The sequence below is a fragment of the Homo sapiens genome, unplaced genomic scaffold (assembly GCF_000001405.40).
Source record: "Homo sapiens unplaced genomic scaffold, GRCh38.p14 Primary Assembly HSCHRUN_RANDOM_CTG2".
NCBI classification, from domain to species: Eukaryota; Metazoa; Chordata; class Mammalia; order Primates; family Hominidae; genus Homo; species Homo sapiens.
In genome coordinates, this window is record NT_167208.1 from 79,129 (window position 1) to 98,938 (window position 19,810).

General features: G+C 41.0%; 1 pseudogene; it reads right to left on the bottom strand.

Annotated features, from left to right (window-relative positions):
* Positions 1–16,868, bottom strand: part of LOC100288929 (coxsackievirus and adenovirus receptor-like) — a 30,178-nt pseudogene extending 13,310 nt beyond the window's left edge.
* Between the last annotated feature and the right edge of the window lie 2,942 nt (positions 16,869–19,810).

The window sequence follows — 19,810 nt, forward strand, 5'->3', positions numbered from 1 at the left end:
GGGATTACAGGCATCTGCCATCATCCCTGGCTAATTTTTGCATTTTTATTGGAGACAGGGTTTCACCATGTTGGCCAGGCTGGTCTTGAACCTCTGACCTCAGGTGACCTGCCTGTCTTGGCCTCACAAAGTGCTGGGATTATAGGCATGAGCCACCACACCCAGCCAGAATATTGCTACTTTTGCAAATAGCTACAATTGACCCTGATCTGGACTTTGAGTTGATCACAGCTTTGTAAAAGAGGATAGCATTGTAAACTACAAAATTAGCCTAATAATAAATAACATAGAATGCTTTCAGTATAAGAAATAATACTATCCTAAGCAAAAATAAATAAATAAATAAAAGTGGAGGAATTATATTATCTGACTTCATATTATACTACAGAATTATAGTAACCAAAAGAGTAGGGTACTGGCATAAAAAGAGACCCATAGATCAATGGAACACAATAGAGAACCCAGTAACAAATCTATATACCTACAGTGAACTCATTTTTGACAAAGGTGCCAAGAACATACACTGGTGGGAAATGGTGTTGAAAAAACTGGATATCCATATGCAGAAGAATGAAAACAGACTAGTATCTATCACCGAATACAAAAGTAAAATCAAAGTTGATTAAAGATGTAAAGCTAATACCTCAAACTATAAAAAAATCTCCAGGACATTGGTCTGGGCAAAAATATCTTGAGCAATACCCGACAAGCACAGGCAACCAAAGCAAAAATGGACAAATGGATCACATTAAGTTAAAATGCTTCTGCACAGAAAATGATACAATCAACAAAGTTAAGAGACAATCCACAGAATGGGAGAAAATATTTGCAAACTACTCATCCAACAAAGGATTAATAATCAGAATATATAAAAAGCTCAAACAACTCTTTAAGAAACAATCTAATAACCTGGTTTAAAAAAAGGGGGCAAAAGATTTGAATAGATATTTCTCGAAAGAAGACCTACAAATGGCAAACAGGTATAAGAAAAGGTGCTCAATATCACCGATCATCAGAGAAATGCAAATCAAAACTACAATGAGATATCATCTCACCACAGTTTATATGACTTGTATGCAAAAGACAGGCAGTAACAAATGCTAGCAGGGATGCAGAGAAAAGGGAACACTTGTACACTGCTCCTGGGAATGTAAATTAATAAAACCACCAAGGTGAACAGTTTGGATGTTTCTCAATAAACTAAAAGTTGAGCTACCATATGATCTAGCAATCCTACTGCTGGGTCTATACCAAAAATGAAGGAAATCAGTATGTCAAATACATATCTGCACTCCCATATTTGTTGCAGCACTGTTTACAAAACTAAGATGTGGAAGAAACCTTAGTGTCCATCAACAGATGAATGGATAAAGAAAATGTGGTACATATACACAATGGAGGACTATTCAGCTGTAACAAAGAACAAGATCCAGTCATTGTCAGTAACACTGATGGAACATTATGGATCATTATATTAAGTGAAATAAGCCAGGCGCAGAAAGACAAATGTTACATGTTCTTACTTATTTGTGGAATCTAAAATCAAAACAAACTCATGGACATATGGAGTATAAGGATGGTTATCAGAGGCTGGGAAAGGTAGTTGGGGGGGAGGTTTGTGGGAAGGTGGGGATGGTTAATGGGTATAAAAATAGAGAGTTAATAAGACCTACTATTTTATAGCACAATAGGGTGACTATATCCAATAATAATTTAATGGTACATTTTGAAGTAACTAAGACTGTAATTGCATTTTTTATAACTTGAAGGATAAATGCTTGAGGGGAGGGATACCCCATTCCCCAAGATGTGCTTATTTCACATTACATGCCTGTATCAAAACATCTCAGGGACCCCACAGATACATACACATACTATGTACCCACAACATTTTTAAACAATCTAATACAATTTTTTAAATAGCACTTATTTTTTGTTACCTTCAACTATTGTAAAATATATTCTATTATTTATGATTAGACTTGTTTGAAAACAAATTTTAAAAACACTATTTAAGACCAGATAAATGGACTAGGAGTAACTTGCATAAAAATGACAGAAATTGCTGCTACTTCTTCTAATTATTGAGATGGTATTTCTATATTTGTGAAATTATCTGTGATAGAAAATTGAATTGTTTCCAACATTATTATTTTTCATAATTCCACATGTTATATTGCTACTTCTTTAAAAGTGGCCTTTAAAATATTACCAATCTATTTTAAAGTCTACTTGCCAAAACATTAAACTATTCTTTAAAAAAGTAATTTATTTAATTACCTAACATCCTCAAGCAATGTCCTAATTTTCTCAAGCAATTATCTGATTTTCTCAAGCAATTGATATTAGCAAGTTGTGCTAGCTAACTGCTGAGAATCATTGTCTACATATGAGATAAATCATCTGTCAATCCTTTAAAGAAGACTTTATGAGCCATAGAGATTGTAGTCCAATCTGTATCACTGACTTTAAACATTGGATAATTGACACTCCGTGTTGTCTGTAAGCCTATTTCACAGCAGCTGAGTGATGTTAATAGATACTTCTTGGAGTGCCATTTTCCTTATAACCCTTAGATTAATTCAGATTGACTGAGTTCTGTGTCAGTGGAAATTGCCAGAATTATATCATTGTGCTTTGCATCTAGTTTCACTTTTCCAAAAGCCTATACAGATTTCAGATGTTTAGAAAATAGCTCTTGTTTTCCTTCTGGGTAATCTTTTTCATGTCACCACTCTTGTCAGCATCTGCATTGGGCAAATTTCCTAGGACCTCCCTTCTGCGTCTTTTAAAAAATGAAAACAAAATCAATGTAGCGCAGCAAGCCAGGGAGTCTGCTTTGATTGACTTATGGCCATAGTCACCCAGCAGTTCCTTCAGATGTGGCTTCCCAGGTCAGCCACTGAGCCCACCGCTGTCCTCCTGCCTGCAGAAGTGGCTCTGTGAGCCGTTTGAGGAGAAAATGGGGGACTTTGGGCTTCAGCCCGAGGAGAACAGGGTGGAGATGGAGGAGCCCCTGGGCGTCCGCAGGTTAACTGAAAACATGAGAAAACACAAGCACGGGACCAAGTCTTTCACTAACCTGTAAAGAACTCTCACCAAGCCGACTGGGCACTTTGTCTCAGCGCCTGCCTTTGCGACCACTGTGTGCGGGAATGCCTGGGGCACGACTGGGCCATCCCAGTGTTCTTATGTCTATACATTCCGAGGTTACCCCTCAGCAAAATGCCAGAGGCTGTCAGACACAGCGGAGCATCCTGCAGTAGGGATCCGAAGCCGTGGAATCTCCAAAGGACCACTTGACCGCGTCCCAGAATCTCCAGCTCAGGCCGGACATTGCCCAGAAAGCCCACATCGTCTTTGGCAATACCTCCCGGATTGTGGTTTTGATTTGCATTTCTCTGATGGCCAGTGATGATGAACATTTTTTCATGTGTCTGTTGGCTGCATAAATGTCTTCTTCTGAGAAGTGTCTGTTCATATCCTTCCCCCACTTTTTGATGGGATTGTTTGATTTTTTCTTGTATATTTGTTTAAGTTCTTTGTAGATTCTGGATATTAGCCCTTTGTCAGATGGGTAGATTGCAAAATTTTTCTCCCATTCTGTAAGTTGCCTGTTCACTCTGATGGTAGTTTCTTTTGCTGTGCAGAAGCTCTTTAGTTTAGTTAGATCCCATTTGTCAATTTTGGCTTTTGTTGCCATTGCTTTTGGTGATTTAGACATGAAGTCCTTGCCCATGCCTATGTCCTGAATGGTATTGCCTAGGTTTTCTTCTAGGGTTTTTACGGTTTTAGGTCTAACATTTAAGTCTTTAATCCATCTTGAAAAGTTAATAATAATAAAGATAATAATATGGAAGAAATTAAAAAAAAACCTCCCGGAGACCAGGAACTTGGTCGGGGCGCGCGGCCTGAGATCACCCCAAGCTCTGGGTGCCTTCCTATCCTTCTGCTTCTTCCTTGGCCGCTTTAGGGGGCGCGCCTCGCCGTGGGTCTCCCTGCGGGTGGTGCAGTGGTGCTCCTGGATGTCACCTCCAGGCGCTTTTGAGACTGCGGCAGGCACCGGGCACCAGGCACCTGCGGATTGGCCTCCCCAGACCGGGCTCAGGAACCTCCAGTGCTCCGCAGTGCGGGCTGCAGGCGACCTCAACGTGGAGCTGCTGCCAGCACCACAGGCCCCAGGGGAGGCCCAGGATGCTGCTTCCCCGCCCCAAGAAGGGCAGTTTGGAGGAAAGTCTTTGGCCTGATGGAAGGCGGCGCCCATCGGGGACGGGGCTGAGAACTAGGCTGGCGCCGCTGCCTGGTAAGCGGGGACCAAGAGGCCCACGGCCTCCATCAGGAACCAGGTGCTTCTCCAAATCCCGGATTTCCAGGAGGAACAACGGCGTCAAGCTGGCTGACACCAGGAACACCCAGAAGTCCCCGCTCCTGTCTGTCCTTCCGCACTCAGGAGCGGGGATGGCCACGGGGACACCATCCGCCCACAAACCGCTGGCGTTTGCTGCCATGGTGCGCGGAGATGCGGTCCCCGAGGAGGCCACTTTCGGCCAGGACGCTGGGACCGTATCAGCAGCAGCATCCCGCGCTGACACTCAGTATTGACTTTCCCCGGACATTGCTGGATTTTTTGCTTTTTAAAACAATTTTGCAGTGGGAGAACAAAAAAGGGCATCCTCAGAGCTTTTGCAAAATTCTCCTGGACCTGTGGTTCTATGGTGTTCACCTCTGCGTTTTACGGACCACTAATTGGCCAGAGCTCGTAAGGCCTATAAGGGCCCCACCCAGCGCTTTAGACACCCCTGAGGGACATTCGCAGCTCAGGAGGATAAAGGTCCTCAGGGGCCTGCCGCGAGGAGGACATGCAGCCCCTCGGCCACCACATCTTCCTCCATTCCAGCCTGGAAAGAGAGACCTTGCCCTCCACCTTACAGGCCTTCATGACCTTGGGACCCACTCTAGAGGCCACGCGCATTTCCACTGCCAAAGCAATAACACAGGAGATGGAAAGAAATTCTTGGCCAGGCGCGGTGGCTCACACCTGTAGTCCCAGCACTTTGGGAGGCCAAGGCGGGCAGATCACGAGGTCAGGAGATCCAGACCATCCTGGCTAGCAAGGTGAAACCCCGTCTGTACTAAAAACACCCAAAAGGTGGCCGGGCTTGGTGGCGGGCTCCTGTAGTCCCAGCTACTCGGGAGGCTGAGGCGGGAGAGTGGTGTGAACCCGGGAGGCGGAGCTTGCAGTGAGCCGAGATCGCGCCACTGCACTCCAGCCTGGGGGACAGAGCGAGACTACGCCTCAGAAAAAAAAAATTTTGCCTTCACTATATGCCTAAGTAATTTCTCTATTAGAGCTCAGAGTCGTGGGGCCCACACCGCCAGCTGACACATGAAAATGTGGCAATGATGTGGTGGTGTCTCTGTGTGGCAGCGTGGTGGTGTGTCTGTGTGGTGGTGTGTCCGTGTGGCAGAGTGTCTGTGTGGTGCTATGTCCATGTGGTGGTGTGTTCATGTATCTGCATGGTGATGTCTCCGTGTGACAGTGTGTTTGTGTATCCATGTGACAATGTCTGTGTGTCCTTGTGTCCACATGGCAGTGTCTGTGTGGTGGTGTCTGACAGTGTGGAGGTGTGTCCATGTGACAGTGTGGCGGTGTGTCTCTGTGTGGCAGTGTCCATGTGGCAGTGTGTTTGTGTGTTCCTGTGATGGTGTGTCCATGTGACAGTGTAGTGATGTCTCTTGTGTGTCTGTGTGTCCCTGTGATAGTGTGGTGGTGTGTCCATGTGATGTCTCCGTGTGTCTGTGTGTCCCTGTGATAGTGTGGTGGTGTGTCCGTGTGGATTTCTCCGTATGTCTGTGTGTCCGTCCATGTGAATGTGCCAGTGTGTCCATGTGACGGTGTGTCCGTGTGGTAATGTCTCCGTGTGTCTGTACATGTGACAGTGTGGTGGTGTGTGCGTGTAACAATGTGGCGGTGTTCCCTTCCCGGCTTGCGGAGCTGGCGTCTTTCCCTCTCAGCCCAGGACGCCCCAGGAGACCCCCAGCTTGGAGGGCAGGAGGTGGCTTCTGTGGAGGGAGGACCAGGGAGCCCCAACAGCCGAGTTTGTGGGGTCCCCTGCATTGGGTGGGAGTGAGGAGAAAGGCGCCGGGGCAGCCAGGACAAGCCTGGGCCTGCCCTAAGGAGGTGACCCACTCCGGGCCTGCATTTTGGGGCGAGCACTCCAGCTCGGTCATCTTGTCCTAAGTCCTTTGTGTGCCGTGGAGATTGCTGAGTTTTGAAGAAGGGAAGGTCATCTTTGTCGCGGAAAGCCTGATGTGTTTCTCTATTGCTGTCACTTTTCAGCCTCATTGCTGGTGAAACATCAAACATTGGGCACATTCTGCCAAGAAAACACCCGGAAGAAAATGTGGGGACTGGCAGTATCAAACCAGAGGAGTCACACACAGATTTCTGTTTGGTTGGAGATCTGCCGTTTTTCCCTGTGGTTTGGGGAAGCGGAGCAGCTCTGCAACGGGAAGGAAGGTGGGTTCTGTGCGGCCAGGAAGGTCCTGGCCCGGGGCAGAGGGGCGAGAGGGGATGTGCGGCGAAAGGCTGTGCAGGGCAGCGGGCAGTGTGCATCGCCCCTACTGCCGGGCGCCCAGGAGGAGGACAGGTCCCAGCCTGGCGGGAGCAGAGGCGGCAGGGCTGGAGTCCCCACACCGGGCTTGAGGGCCGGCGGAGCCGCAGGCTGTGGCCGAGGGGGACTCCCGGGCACCTGGTGGGCGTCCCCATGACCAGGATACACACCGGGCTCCGGAGGCCAGGCGGACCAAGCTAGGGGTGCCAGGGGAGGCTCGAGGTTCCCGCGGTGGGAGGTGGGTCCCTGGACCCTGGTCTCCTGCTGCTGTCCCACACATGGGCTGCCTTCGCTCAGGGGCACCCCGCCAGCGTCGCCTATCTGGGACCTCAGCGCAGCTCCTAGCAGGCGGGAGGCTGAGGCAGAGACCTCAGGGCCCAGCTGGGTCTGCAGTTTCCACCACTCGTGACGCAGGGCGAGCTCAAGCTGTGCCGCCCAGGCAGGAAACCCTCCGACCTTGCCAGCTTTGGCGCCAGCCTTGGTGACTCTCTCCAGCTCAGCTTCAACACCTTTCAACAGTTCTGTGTTCGCTATTATCACAAGAATTCTTTCTGTATTTCCTATCCTTTATCAAATAGGAATTTAAATATGCATATGGAGTGATATCACAGTTGAAACATTAAACAATATACAATTTCATGTGTCTTTTTTTGTTTAATATATAATTTTCTAAAAAGTAAAATTATGACTCTACTGCAAATATAAGATAAACACATATCAACAATGTTTTTCAACTCAATAAGCGATGAGGGTTCCAGTAAATAGGTTCAAATCCTTGCAAGGAACATTAAAGGAGCTTTACAGCCAGTGTTAAAGTCAGATCGTTGGGTACTTACAGTACTGGTTAGTATCCAACATAGCCAGAAGCTGTCATCTTTGTGAGTTCTCTCTTCCACGGCACAGAAATAATGTGTTTTTCTACTGTACAAAATATTTATCTTTTCTACTACTTCTGCACATAAAAATATTGCTAGTCAGAAAAGACCAGGATTGCACTGAAAAAAAATCTCAGTAATATCTCTCACCTGTATTCATACTTCTTTTCTTCCTTTATGAAATATCTTTCAACTGCATTTTCTATCTGAAGGTTTATAGAGAGAGGAAAATGAATAAAAGCATAGTAAGTGAATATTTGGTAACATTTTGCAGCTTTATTCATGTCTAACGAACATAAAACACACTTCCAATATTTAAAGTGTAAATGAGATGAATTTGATATGTACATGTGCCCATTAAACAATCACCATGAAGGGGACAATGAGCATATCCAATACTCTCAAAGCTTCCTAGTTCTCTTTTGTAATGCACACTCATACCTCTCAGGTGTGAAGTATTGAGCTTCACACATACACACAAATATATACTGGGATATCTAATTGTTTCAGAAGCATTTGTTGAAAATGTTATGTCCATGAATGGTCTAAGAACTTTATCAAAAATTAGCTGATAGCTGATATACATGTGTATATCTATATTTGTACTACATTGTCTTAAGTATTACTGTAACGTTCTAAGTCTTGAATCCCGGTGCTGTTTATTCTCCAGCAGCACCTGGTTTCAAAGTAACTGTTTCCTTTCAAAGTAATTTGCCATTATAGGTCCTCTACCCATTGATGTACATTTCAGAATTTTAGTTTCTCAATTTCTAAAATAAGAAATCCAGCTGTGATTTGATTGGAATTGTTATAGATCAATGTGGGAAGAGTAGACATCTTAACAATATAGAGATTTATGACTCATAAATTCCATTTATTTAGGTCTCATTTATTTTAGCAATATTTTGTAGTTTTGTAGTTTTCAAATGTTTCTCTTTTTTGCTGGTTTATCTCTAAGTACATATTTTGATATTTACAATAATATCAAAATTATGGTAATATTAATGCAAATGTTGTTTTATTTTTTTCCTCCATTAATTGTCAGGTAGTTTTAAATCATAATTTAATTGTATGATAAAACTGAATTTTGCGAGAAATGTATACATATTGTATATATACTGTTTGTCAGTTTGGCAGATTGACTGCATTATCATATCATAATTTAAAATTGCACTAATTACCACTCAGCCTCCTCTCAAGGACAATATATCAAAATATATAGCATGTTTCAGTTTATTTAGCATCATGAAACTCTCATATTGCACTTACTTTTGGAAACCTGGAATAATAAAATAATGTAAATATCAGTTCACAGGCGACATATAAGTACATGAGACAATTTTCTAAATATCTACCTATCGCTCTTTAATTCTATGTTAATATTGTCAATTTTTTCCTCCTCTTGAAACTCTCTTATGCAGCTTATTGACTTTTGGTTCAATTCCTTCCCTGTTTTTCCCCCTAATCTACTTTCTAATATTTTACTGATGTTGTGCTCCTTTTTATCTGGACACTTTTAAAAAGCTGTGTAATTTCTCCTTTGTATTAAAATGCAAATCCATATCCAAAATAAATGAGCAGAGGGACCAAACAGATGTTTGTGCAGCGTGTCCATTAGCAATATTATTCACAATAATCAAAGGGAGGGAGCAGCCCTTGTGAATATTGATGGATGAGTGGTTAAACAAAATGTGGTATATACGGCAACATAATAATATTCAGCCTTAAAATATATTCTCACACATGCTACAAAATAGATGAAACTTGAAGACATGCTAAGTGAAATAAGCCAGTCAGAAAAATTCAAACATTCTATCATGCCACTTCTATGAGTTACTTAGTGAAAGTTGTAGAGACAGAAAGTAGAATGGTGATTGCTAGGGGGAAGGAGAGGGAGAGGAATGGGAAGTTGGTGTTCAATGAGTAAAGCATTTTAGTTGGAGAAGAAGACAAGTTTTGGAGGTCTATGGTGGTGACTGTTGCACAATAGTGCAAATATACTTAATGCCACAAAACTGTGCACTTAAAGTGATTAAAAAGGTAAATTTCATGTTGTGTATATCTTTCCAGAATTATAAACCTGCCATCACATTATAGAAATAAAGAGTATATTATATAGCGTTAGGTGATGCTATTTTACACATTTGCACATAATTAGAATTTCAAAGCCTTAATTTCACATAAGGTAGTCTAAGACATAACAATATTGATGTAAGAAAGCCATAAGCAATGTTTATTTTCAATCAGATTTACTAAAAAATTTTATTGAACTGGTCAATTTTCTTTGCCAATATTACTGTATTCTTATTTCTAGTAATAGAGGTGTGAGAAAGCATCAAGGAAACTTAAATTGCATTCTCATACTGACTGCATACAATAATTCTGAAAACAGCAGAAGTTATGTATATCCCCCATAAGTAAAACATGAGTAACACAACACAACAAAAATTAATAGGAGACAATTCAAATAATGGTGACTTGTTATTCTTATCTAGTTAAGTACTATTCTTTTCTAACAGGAATTTGCTATTTCAAATATATTTTCTGAGATGTCTATATTTATATTTTGAGATGACATACAAACTTGAGTCAATGACATAGAATTTTACAAATCAAGAAGCTTATTCTGGGGCCATTTCTTTTGACATTTTCTCTAAACTACTAGAGAGGCATTAATGATCCATAAATTATATTATCTATATTTACAGCATTTAAAATGTGTTCAGCATGAAATATTAGCTACAGGGTAAGCTAAATAAATTAAACATGGGATAAAGATTTATCCTTAAATATAAATTACAAGAAGACTTTGATATTAGTTTTTCACAAGTGAAGCATTCTTATAAAATGTCATAACCTTTTTGGGGAAACTCTGGGAAAAATGGAGAAACTCTGAAGGGTTTTAAGTATCTTTCCTGAAGCTACAGACTCCATAACCTCTCTTTACAGGGAGCTCCTGCAGCTCCGACAGAAATGAGTGGCTGAGATTCCTGGTTGCATAGCAGAGCTTCTCATCCAAACCCTTTCCCTTTTTAGTGTCTGTGTATCAGTACAAAAGTTCTATAAACTGTAGTTATTTTAATCCCAAAGCACAGTAATAATATATTTCATCCAAGGGTTGGCAGTTTCTGTGAGTGTTTTGTCTAATTCTCCAAAACTCTATCTACAGGATTCCAAAGAGCCTGAAAAGTAAAATATTTTAAAAAGGGGAAAGGGAGAAAGGGAAAGAAAATAAAATTAATAGCCCATTCTGTCATTGTTATTAAACACCAGAGTACATTTCTGCTAGTCTAATTAAAATTAGTGACATCATTTAACATTTATGTCTTCAACAAAAGTTTGGAATCCTGAAAAAGACATTTAATTTGCTAATAAATATATTTGAATCAAATTGAAATCCTTACATATTACTTTAAATAAAGAACACAAGATGATTTATGATGTAGAAAATTCTATCCCTCATTGTCCAAAATCTAATAGTTAAATTGAACTTGTTAAATAATATTTTTGGCCAGGCATGTGGCTTACACCTGGAGTCCCAATACTTTGGGAGGCAAAGGCAGGTGGATTGCTTGAGCTGAGTAGTTGCAGACCAGGCTCGGCAACATGGTGAAACCCAATCTTTACAAAAAAAAAAAAAAAAAGAAAAAGAAAAAGAAAATTTAGCCAGGCATAGTGGCTTGCCTGCCTGTAGTCCCAGCTACTCAGGAGGATGAGGTGGGAGGATCACCGGAGTCTGGGGAAGCTGGGGCTGCAGTGAGCCATGATTGTGCCACTGCACTCCAGCTTGGGCAACAGAATGAGACCCTGTCTCAAAGAAAGACAGAAAGACAAGGAAGGAAGGAAGGAAGGAAGGAAGGAAGGAAGGAAGGAAGGAAGGAAGGAAAGAAAGAGAGAAAGGAAGGAAGGAAAATTAATAGTTTTGGTGCCAATAATCTTTACGGAATTTTGCTTTAATGAAATAGATTTAACTAAGTAGTGACATGATCTGCTTAAGTGTATTGACCCTAGCAATCAGAGGCCTCCGTATCCCCACAATGACTTAACAGTTACATTTGACAAGCCTTGATTCTCCTAACCTACGCACAGCATAGTCAGAATTTCAGAATTCCAACTTTCCCTATGCTATTTGGGCACATTGCTTAACTTCTCTAAGACTCAATATTTTTACTCTTAAGATACTACTAATAATAGTACCTAGTTTTTATGATATAATGTGCATCAAAAGCATTATACTTTCAGGCAGATGGCAATTTCTCAATAAATATTTGCTAATGTTTTAGTACAAACAGGAAAATTGGATTATGATATTTATGACACTGTTGATTCTCCTTCTAGAAACATTTGTTTCTAAAACTTGTTTTCAAATTAGAGCACTATTTTGTATTCAGATTGAAAATACTATATGTTCAGATTTTTTAAAAAACAGTATTGCATGAATGTTTTAATTAAAATATTCCTAAATGAGCTTGAGCAAGGAGGACAGGGGAGATAAGTAAAATAAGGCTTTCTGGCATAGGAGACATTTGGTGGAAATCTTTCAGCTCAACTAAGATTTGAAAAAAAAAGAGAATTTTTATAAAAAATGTAAAGGCAGGATTTACCCTGATGAGCTTGTGGAGAAAATACAGAGTCTAACATAATTCAAAAGAGACTAATCAGTCAAAGTAGTTTTGAAGGAATATCTTGAAGAGAGAGAACATAAAATGAAGATCAGGTATGTAGTTATTTTAATAATCTATCCATGAGATAAAAAGCATTGGGTTTTATTTTATTTGTCAAAAAGGGACAATAGTTCCAAGAACCATTCTTTGTTCAGCCTAAAGAGGTTTTTACATTTTGAACCAGCGACATATTGTGCTAAGTAGGATAATATCCAAATTTGTGTCTATATCAACAATTTTGTTCTCAATTAAAAACACTTTATTCACACAACTGATGATTATCTGCATTTGATTTAGTGCTGAACTGTCAAAGGGGGACTAACAAAAACAAAACATTAGAGTTGCAAGCAGTGTAAGTGGAAAATAATGATCATATTGAACTCATCATTACTGAAATAAGAAAACAAAGCAAAAAATAAATAAGAAAAAAATTGACTACATGAACATTTGCTTCTCTCCTAAGAATCAAAACCCTTAATTTGCTGTGGCAAAAAAGCATCTGGGTCCATGAACCCATGCAAAAGTCTACTGTTTCTGGGAGATAAGAAGAAGCAAAACACATCAGCTTTCAGAGAAGGTTAAGAAACCTCTCATACCCTACCCTACCCCACCTGATACCAGGCAAAGGATCACTGCTTCTGGGAGAGGGATGCAAGAAAAATACTCCTCCATCAGGAGAGGAACAAGGATTGTTTTGGGGCCCAGGATTTTGCACTAATGCAGAGTCGTGCTACTGTGGTAAAGGTTTGGAAAGTCTCCATCCAGTGACCACAGACAAAGGTATATTGTTCCTATGGAAGGAGAAATAAAAGAGTTTGTCCTTATTGTGGGGTTGAAAACTTGCAATGATATAAATCAGAGGTTTTCTACTACTGAGGTGGGAGGAGGGTAAGTTATTATTTCTTCTGCAAAAAACAACACAGGTAAGTGACAGTTTGACTCCCACTAGAATAAGAGTCAAGAAGTGTTAAAAATACCCCTTCTGTGAGTGTCCAATGATGAAACTGGCTCAAAAATAACATGAATCATCCCTCTGTCCCCAACCTGAATTTTTTGCCTAGTCACACACACACACACACACAAAATGATGTTCTACAGTTAGAGAGGAACAAGAAAGTGGAGAGAGACCCTCTCTATAACATAGGTGGTAAGGACTACCGAAAGCTAACTGTGGAACAGGATCATTGGCATATGCTCTCCAGAGTCTAAGGCCCCACACAAGGCACATCACATAGCAGCCTAGTGCTGGAGAAATCTGAGTTACATTGGTCACTGAATGTTTCAGACACCGCAGCAAAAAGCAACCTTTGTTCCTGCCCACACTAATAGCATGACATAAAAATGAAAGAGAAATATAAAACAATCTCGACATAATTATCTCATGATCTACTGTTTTTCTACATCAGATGATTTGCATTTTTTAGAAATTGGGAGACACATAAAAGCAAGTTAGAAATTTGAGTTATGAGTTATAATATTTTCAAAGGATAAAAAGTCAACAGAATCAAATTCAGAGATAATTCAGATGTTGGAACTAAATGCAAGTAATTTAAAATAATAATGATCAAAATGTTAAAGGATCTAGTTAAAAAATACAACATGTATGGAAAAATGAGGTATTTCAGCAAAGATGGGAACAGTAAAAGGCAAAATCTAGAAATAAGTGAAAGCATGAGAACAAAGATGAATTACATCAGCAAGCTGATTAGCAGACTGGTCATCAGAGTTAAAGAAAGAAGCAGTAAATTTTATACTAGGTCAATACAAATCATTTGAATGGTAGCACAAAGGGAGGAAAGAGAAAAACCAAATAAACCAATAAACCAAGCAAATAAAATACTCCAGTGAATCCAAGAATTTTCTGGTAATATGAAATTAACTAAAATATAATTAATTGGAATTACAGAAGGAAAGTAAAAACAGAATGTGAGAGAAGAAAAATTTGAAAAAGATGACTAAGGAGACCAAATAACCTCAAAATATCCAAGAAAGATTAATACAAAATTTAAAGAACGCTAGAATAATCACACTAGTCAAACTGCTGAAAACCAATGATTACCACAAATCTTGAATTCAGTCACAGAAAAAATAGGAACACTGTGTAGAGAGATAAACAGAAACAAACATTATAATGAACTGCTTGTCAGTAACTCTACAAGTCAGAAACCAATGATACAAAATTCTTAAATAACTGAAGAAAAGTCAACCCCCAATCTTATATCCATTAACTGTAATACAGCAAAAATAACAATTAAATGACATTTTCAGATTAACACTGGAAGAGTCCCTTGCTAACAGGTATGCACTAAAATAAATGTCAAAATCATTTCTTGAGGCAAAAGGAATATGGAAGCAGGTGAAAGTTGAAACTACACAAAGAAATAAATAATGCCAGAGAAGATATAAAGATATATAACCCAATTATTTTACATTGCTCTAAAGATAATTGATTGTCTAATTTTTTTAAAAAAAGTAACTTTATATTATGGAATTCATAATATTTGAGACTATAATGCATGACATAAATAGTATAAAGGAGAGAGGAAACAGAAATATACATTTTAAGGTTTTTATACCATAGTTGGTATAGTACAAATTATAGGTTACTGTAATAAGCTAGAATAGGTATTGAAATCTCTAGAGAAACCATGAACATTTTATAAAAATGGTATGTGCATTGTTTTCATAGAACTTCCAGCTTTTATTTATTTGTTTTTATTCATTTAATTTTATTTATTTTTTTTGAGATGGAGTCTCGCCCTGTTGCCCAGGCTGCAGTGCAATGGTGTGATCTCAGCTCACTGCAACCACCTCCGCCTCCCAGGGTTCCAATGAATTCTCCTGCCTCAGCCTCCTGAGTAGCTGGGATTACAGGTGCCCACCACCATGCCCAGCTAATTTTTGTATTTTTAGTAGAGACGGGGTTTCACCATGTTGGCCAGGCTTGTCTCAAACTCCTGGCCTCATGATCGGCCCACCTCAGCTTCCCAAAGTGCTGGGATTACAGACTTGAGACACCATACCAGGCCCCAGCTTTTAGTTTTTAAGGTAGTTGTTATTACATGTGAAGTAAGCTTATTCTTAAATATCCATGTTTTGAGAATTAATGATAATGACAAATTAATTTATCTCAATCTAAATGATATTTTAATATTAAATATTTAAATATTTTTATTATTTTTCCTTTTTAACAGAAGTCATTCTAACTGGTGTGAGATGGTATTTCACTGCTGTTTTGTTTTGCATTTCTCTGATGATTAGTGATGGTATGCATGTGTTAATATGTTTGTTGGCCACATATGTGTTCTTCTGAAAACTGTCTGTTTATGTTCTTTGCCCATTTTTTAATGGGGTTATTTATTTTTTGCTCGTTGATTTGCATAAGTCTCTTATGGCTTCTGGATAATAGGCCTTTGCTGTATGCATAGTGTGTGAATATTTTCTTCCATTCTGTAGGCTGTCTGTTCAATCCCTTGAGAGTTTCTCATGCTGTGTAGAAGAAGCTCTTTAGTTTAATTAAATCATACTTGTCAATTTTCATTTTTCTGGCAATTGCTTTTGAGGACTTACCCATAAATTCATTGCCAAGTGCAATGTCCAGATGAATATTTCCTAGGTTTTCTTCCAGGATTTTTATAGGCAGAGGATGTAATCTCATGTCAATGGGTCTTAATAATCAAATGACTCCACACTGAGAATCATTACTGTGAAAAATCGATTTTGTTATAATGATGGAAATTTAAACATATAAAAGTAAAAACAGATGCCACCTCTTTGCTAGAACTCCACAAGGCAAATTACTACAAGAGAGGCAGAGAAAACACGATATATATATATATATATATATATATATATATATATATATAATCTCCAAAATATAATTTGCAGTGAAATAAATGAAAGCACATTATAAATAAACTTACCTGATTTTACAAACTAACCTGTAAAGGGATTTGTACTAATTTTTCCATTGCCTGCATTGCCTTTTCTTCTAGATCCAATTTATATTTTTGTACTTCACCAATGTGTCTTCACCAATGTGTACTTTCCATACGTTTTTTAAGATTTAATATTACTTCTTCCAACATCTTTTTAGCCTCAAGTTTTTTACATTCCTGTTGTATTTTTTCATACATAATAACTCCTGTTGAATACCTTGTTTTGAGTCAAACAGACATATTTTGAAGATACAGCTTCCAGCTCTGCTGTAAGATCATCAAACTACATTAATAAAATAATATAGCTTGAAAATGAAGTAGGCTGAGAATAATCTCATACAAAACCAATAACAAATTTTGAAATACATTTACTTGCAATAAAATGTTATCTATAATGTAGATTCTTTAAATGTTAACCCTTAAATTACTCAGAAATTCAAGAACAAAGTAAAAGCCACCATAAGTCACATATACTCTTTACTATCATCATCTTTGCCACAGAACTTTTGCACTTGATCTTTCTTTTATTTTTCTGATAATTTGTGTCTGTTCCTCCTTAAATGGCTCTACGTTAACTCTTATTAGAAAGTTTCAAACCCCTTTCTCTCATCATCATGCCCCAAAATTTGTCAAAAAAAGTTTCAGAGATATAATATTGAGTTATTTAGGCCAAAGTCAATAAATGGCTCTTAGAATAAGACTTTGAAAATAATGTAATACTCTATGCTAGGCATGGTGGCTCATGCCTGTAATCCCAGCACTATAGGAGGCTGTGGCAGAAAGATTACTTGAGGCCAGGAATTTGAAACCAGCCAGAGCAACATAGTGATAACATAATCTCGACAAAAATTTTTTTTTTTTTAAATTAGCCAGCCATGGTGACTTATGCTTGTAGATCCAGCTAGTTGGGAGACTAAGGCACAAGGATGGCTTGGACTCAGAGTTCAGGGCTGCAGTGAATTATGACCAAGCCACTCCACTTCTGCCTGGATGACAGACAGAGACCATATCTCAAAAAAACACAAAATAATCCTATAAATAAGGATTCTAATGTCATAAGCCTTTCCCTAGGCTGTAAATGTTTTATGCTAATTTGAATTGCATTTTTAAAAGTAATGACTCTTGGGGTAGAGGCCATAGAATACAGCACCCAGATATATATCCACATATTTGCCTTACAAGAAATAAATCCACATTCTTACCTTACAAGAGCTCCTGAAGGAAGCACTAAACATGGAAAGGGACAAACAGTATGAGCCACTGCAAAAACATACCAAATTGTAATGACCATCGACACTATAAAGAAACTGCATTAACTAATGGGAAAAATAAACACCTAACAACATCATGACAGGATAAATTTCACATGTAACAATATTAACCTTAAATGTAACTGGGCTAAATGCCCCAGTAAAAAGACACAGACTGGCAAGTTGGAAAAAGACTCAAGACCCATTGGTGTACTGTATTCAGGAGACCCATCTCACATGCAAAGACACACACAGGCTCAAAATAAAGGGATGGAGGAATATTTACCAAGCAAATGAAAAGGAAAAAAAAAAAAAAAAGCAGGGGTTGCAATCCTAGTCTCTGATAAAACAAACTTTAAATGGAAAAGATCAAAAGAGACAAAGAAGGGCATTACAAAGCAGTGCCATCTGCTTTTCCTCAGGACTCTGCTCCATCAGCCATCAGGTGGCAGCCATTCAGGCTGTTGGAACCTGGCCATCCATGCTTCTCTGAGTGGGTGAAGTTAAAGGCTGGTCCAACTGCATGAGGAGCATGCTTGCAGAGGTGGCTGCTTGCTCTTTGAGCCAGCTTGGCCTTGCCTGGCATGCACAGGCCCCAGCTACTGACACGCTGCTCTGAGTAAGCTTGTCCTGCCTGGGGCCAAATTCTAAGTCTGGCCAGGGCCACAGAAAGGCGAGTCCCCTGGGTGGTAATCCTGACTTTTTTCTGCACTTGAACATAAAGTCCTCCTCAAGACGGCCTGTGGTCTGCCTCTTGGCAACCAAGAAGCCTGCAGTGCCATATAAGCTCAGAGGCATGGACTAGAGCCCCAAAGGCAGTGAACACCCTGCTCCTGAGCCTGCTGCTAATTCCCTGTGTGTGGCTCCATTTGCACAGCTGTTGTACTGAGGCTTGTGCATACCGAGCGAAGCCAAGCTGGCTCAAAGAGTACCCAGCCACCTCCGCAAGGGTGTGCCAGGAGCCGGTGGAGCAGACACTAAACTCACACGCTGCCGGTTGGGGCACATCAGTTCTTCTCCCATAGAGGTTGGGCCCCAGTGCCATCTGCTTTTCCTCAGGCCTCTGCTCCATCAGTCTCCAGGTGGCAGCCAGTCAGACTGTTGGAACCTGGCCATCCGTGCTTCCTTGTGTGGGTCAGTTTGATGGCTGCTACATCTTCTCCAGGCACACCCTTGCGGAGGTGGCTGGTTGCTCTTTGAGACAGCTTGGCCTTGACTGGCATGCACAGGCTCCAGCTACTGAGATGCTGCTCTGAGTGAGCTTGTCCTGTATTAGGCCAAATTCTAAGTCCAGTCAGGGCCACAGAAGGCAGAGTCCCCTGGGTGGTAATCCTGGCTGCTTTCTGCACTTGAACATAAAGTCCTCCTCAAGATGGCCTGTGGTCTGCCTCTTTGCAACCAAGAAGCCCACAGAGCCATACTAGCCCCAAGGCATTGACTGGAGCCCCAAACGCAGCACACACCCTGCTCCTGAGCCTGCTGCTCTGTTTTCTCTGTGTGGCTCCATTTGTAGCACAGTTGTTGTACTGAGGTTTGTGCATGCTGGGTAAGGCCAAGCTGGCTCAAAGAGCAACCAGCCACCTCTGCAAGGGTGTGCCAGGAGCAGGTGGACCAGCCACCAACCTCACTCGCAGCCAGTCAGGGTACATCAGTTCTTCTACCCTAGAGGTAGAGCCCCAGTGCCATCTGCTTTTCCTCAGGCCTCTGCTCCATCAGCCATCAGGACGCAGACATGCAGGCTGTGGGAACCTGGCCATCCCTACTTCCTTGAGTGGGTGAGGTTGGTGGCTGCTCCACCTGCTCCAGGTGCACCCTTGCAGAGGTGGCTGGTTGCTCTTCGAGCCACCTTGGCCTTGCCTGGCATGCACAGGCCCCAGCTACTGACACACTGCTCCGAGTGAGCTTGCCCTGCCTGGGGCCAAATTCTAAGTCTGGCCAGGGCCACAGAAGGCAGAGCCCCTGGGTGGTGATACTGGCTGTTTTCTGCATTTGAACATAAAGTCCTCCTCAAGATGGCCTGTGGTCTGCATCTTGGCAACGAAGAAGCCCACAGTGCCACACGAGCCCTGAGGCATGGACTGGAGCCCCAAAGGCAGCGCACACCCTGCTCCTGAGCCTGCTGCTCATTTCCTCTATGTGGCTCCATTTGTGGGACCACTGTTGTGCTGAGGCTTGTGCATGCCGGGCAAGGCCAAGCTGGCTCAAAGAGCAACCAGCCACCTCTGCAAGGGTGTGCCAGGAGCAGGTGGACCAGCCACCAACCTCACTCGCAGCCAGTCGGGGTACATCAGTTCTTCTACCCTAGAGGTAGAGCCCCAGTGCCATCTGCTTTTCCTCAGGCCTCTGCTCCATCAGCCATCAGGACGCAGCCATGCAGGCTGTGGGAACCTGGCCATCCCTACTTCCTTGAGTGGGTGAGGTTGGTGGCTGCTCCACCTGCTCCAGGTGCACCCTTGCAGAGGTGGCTGG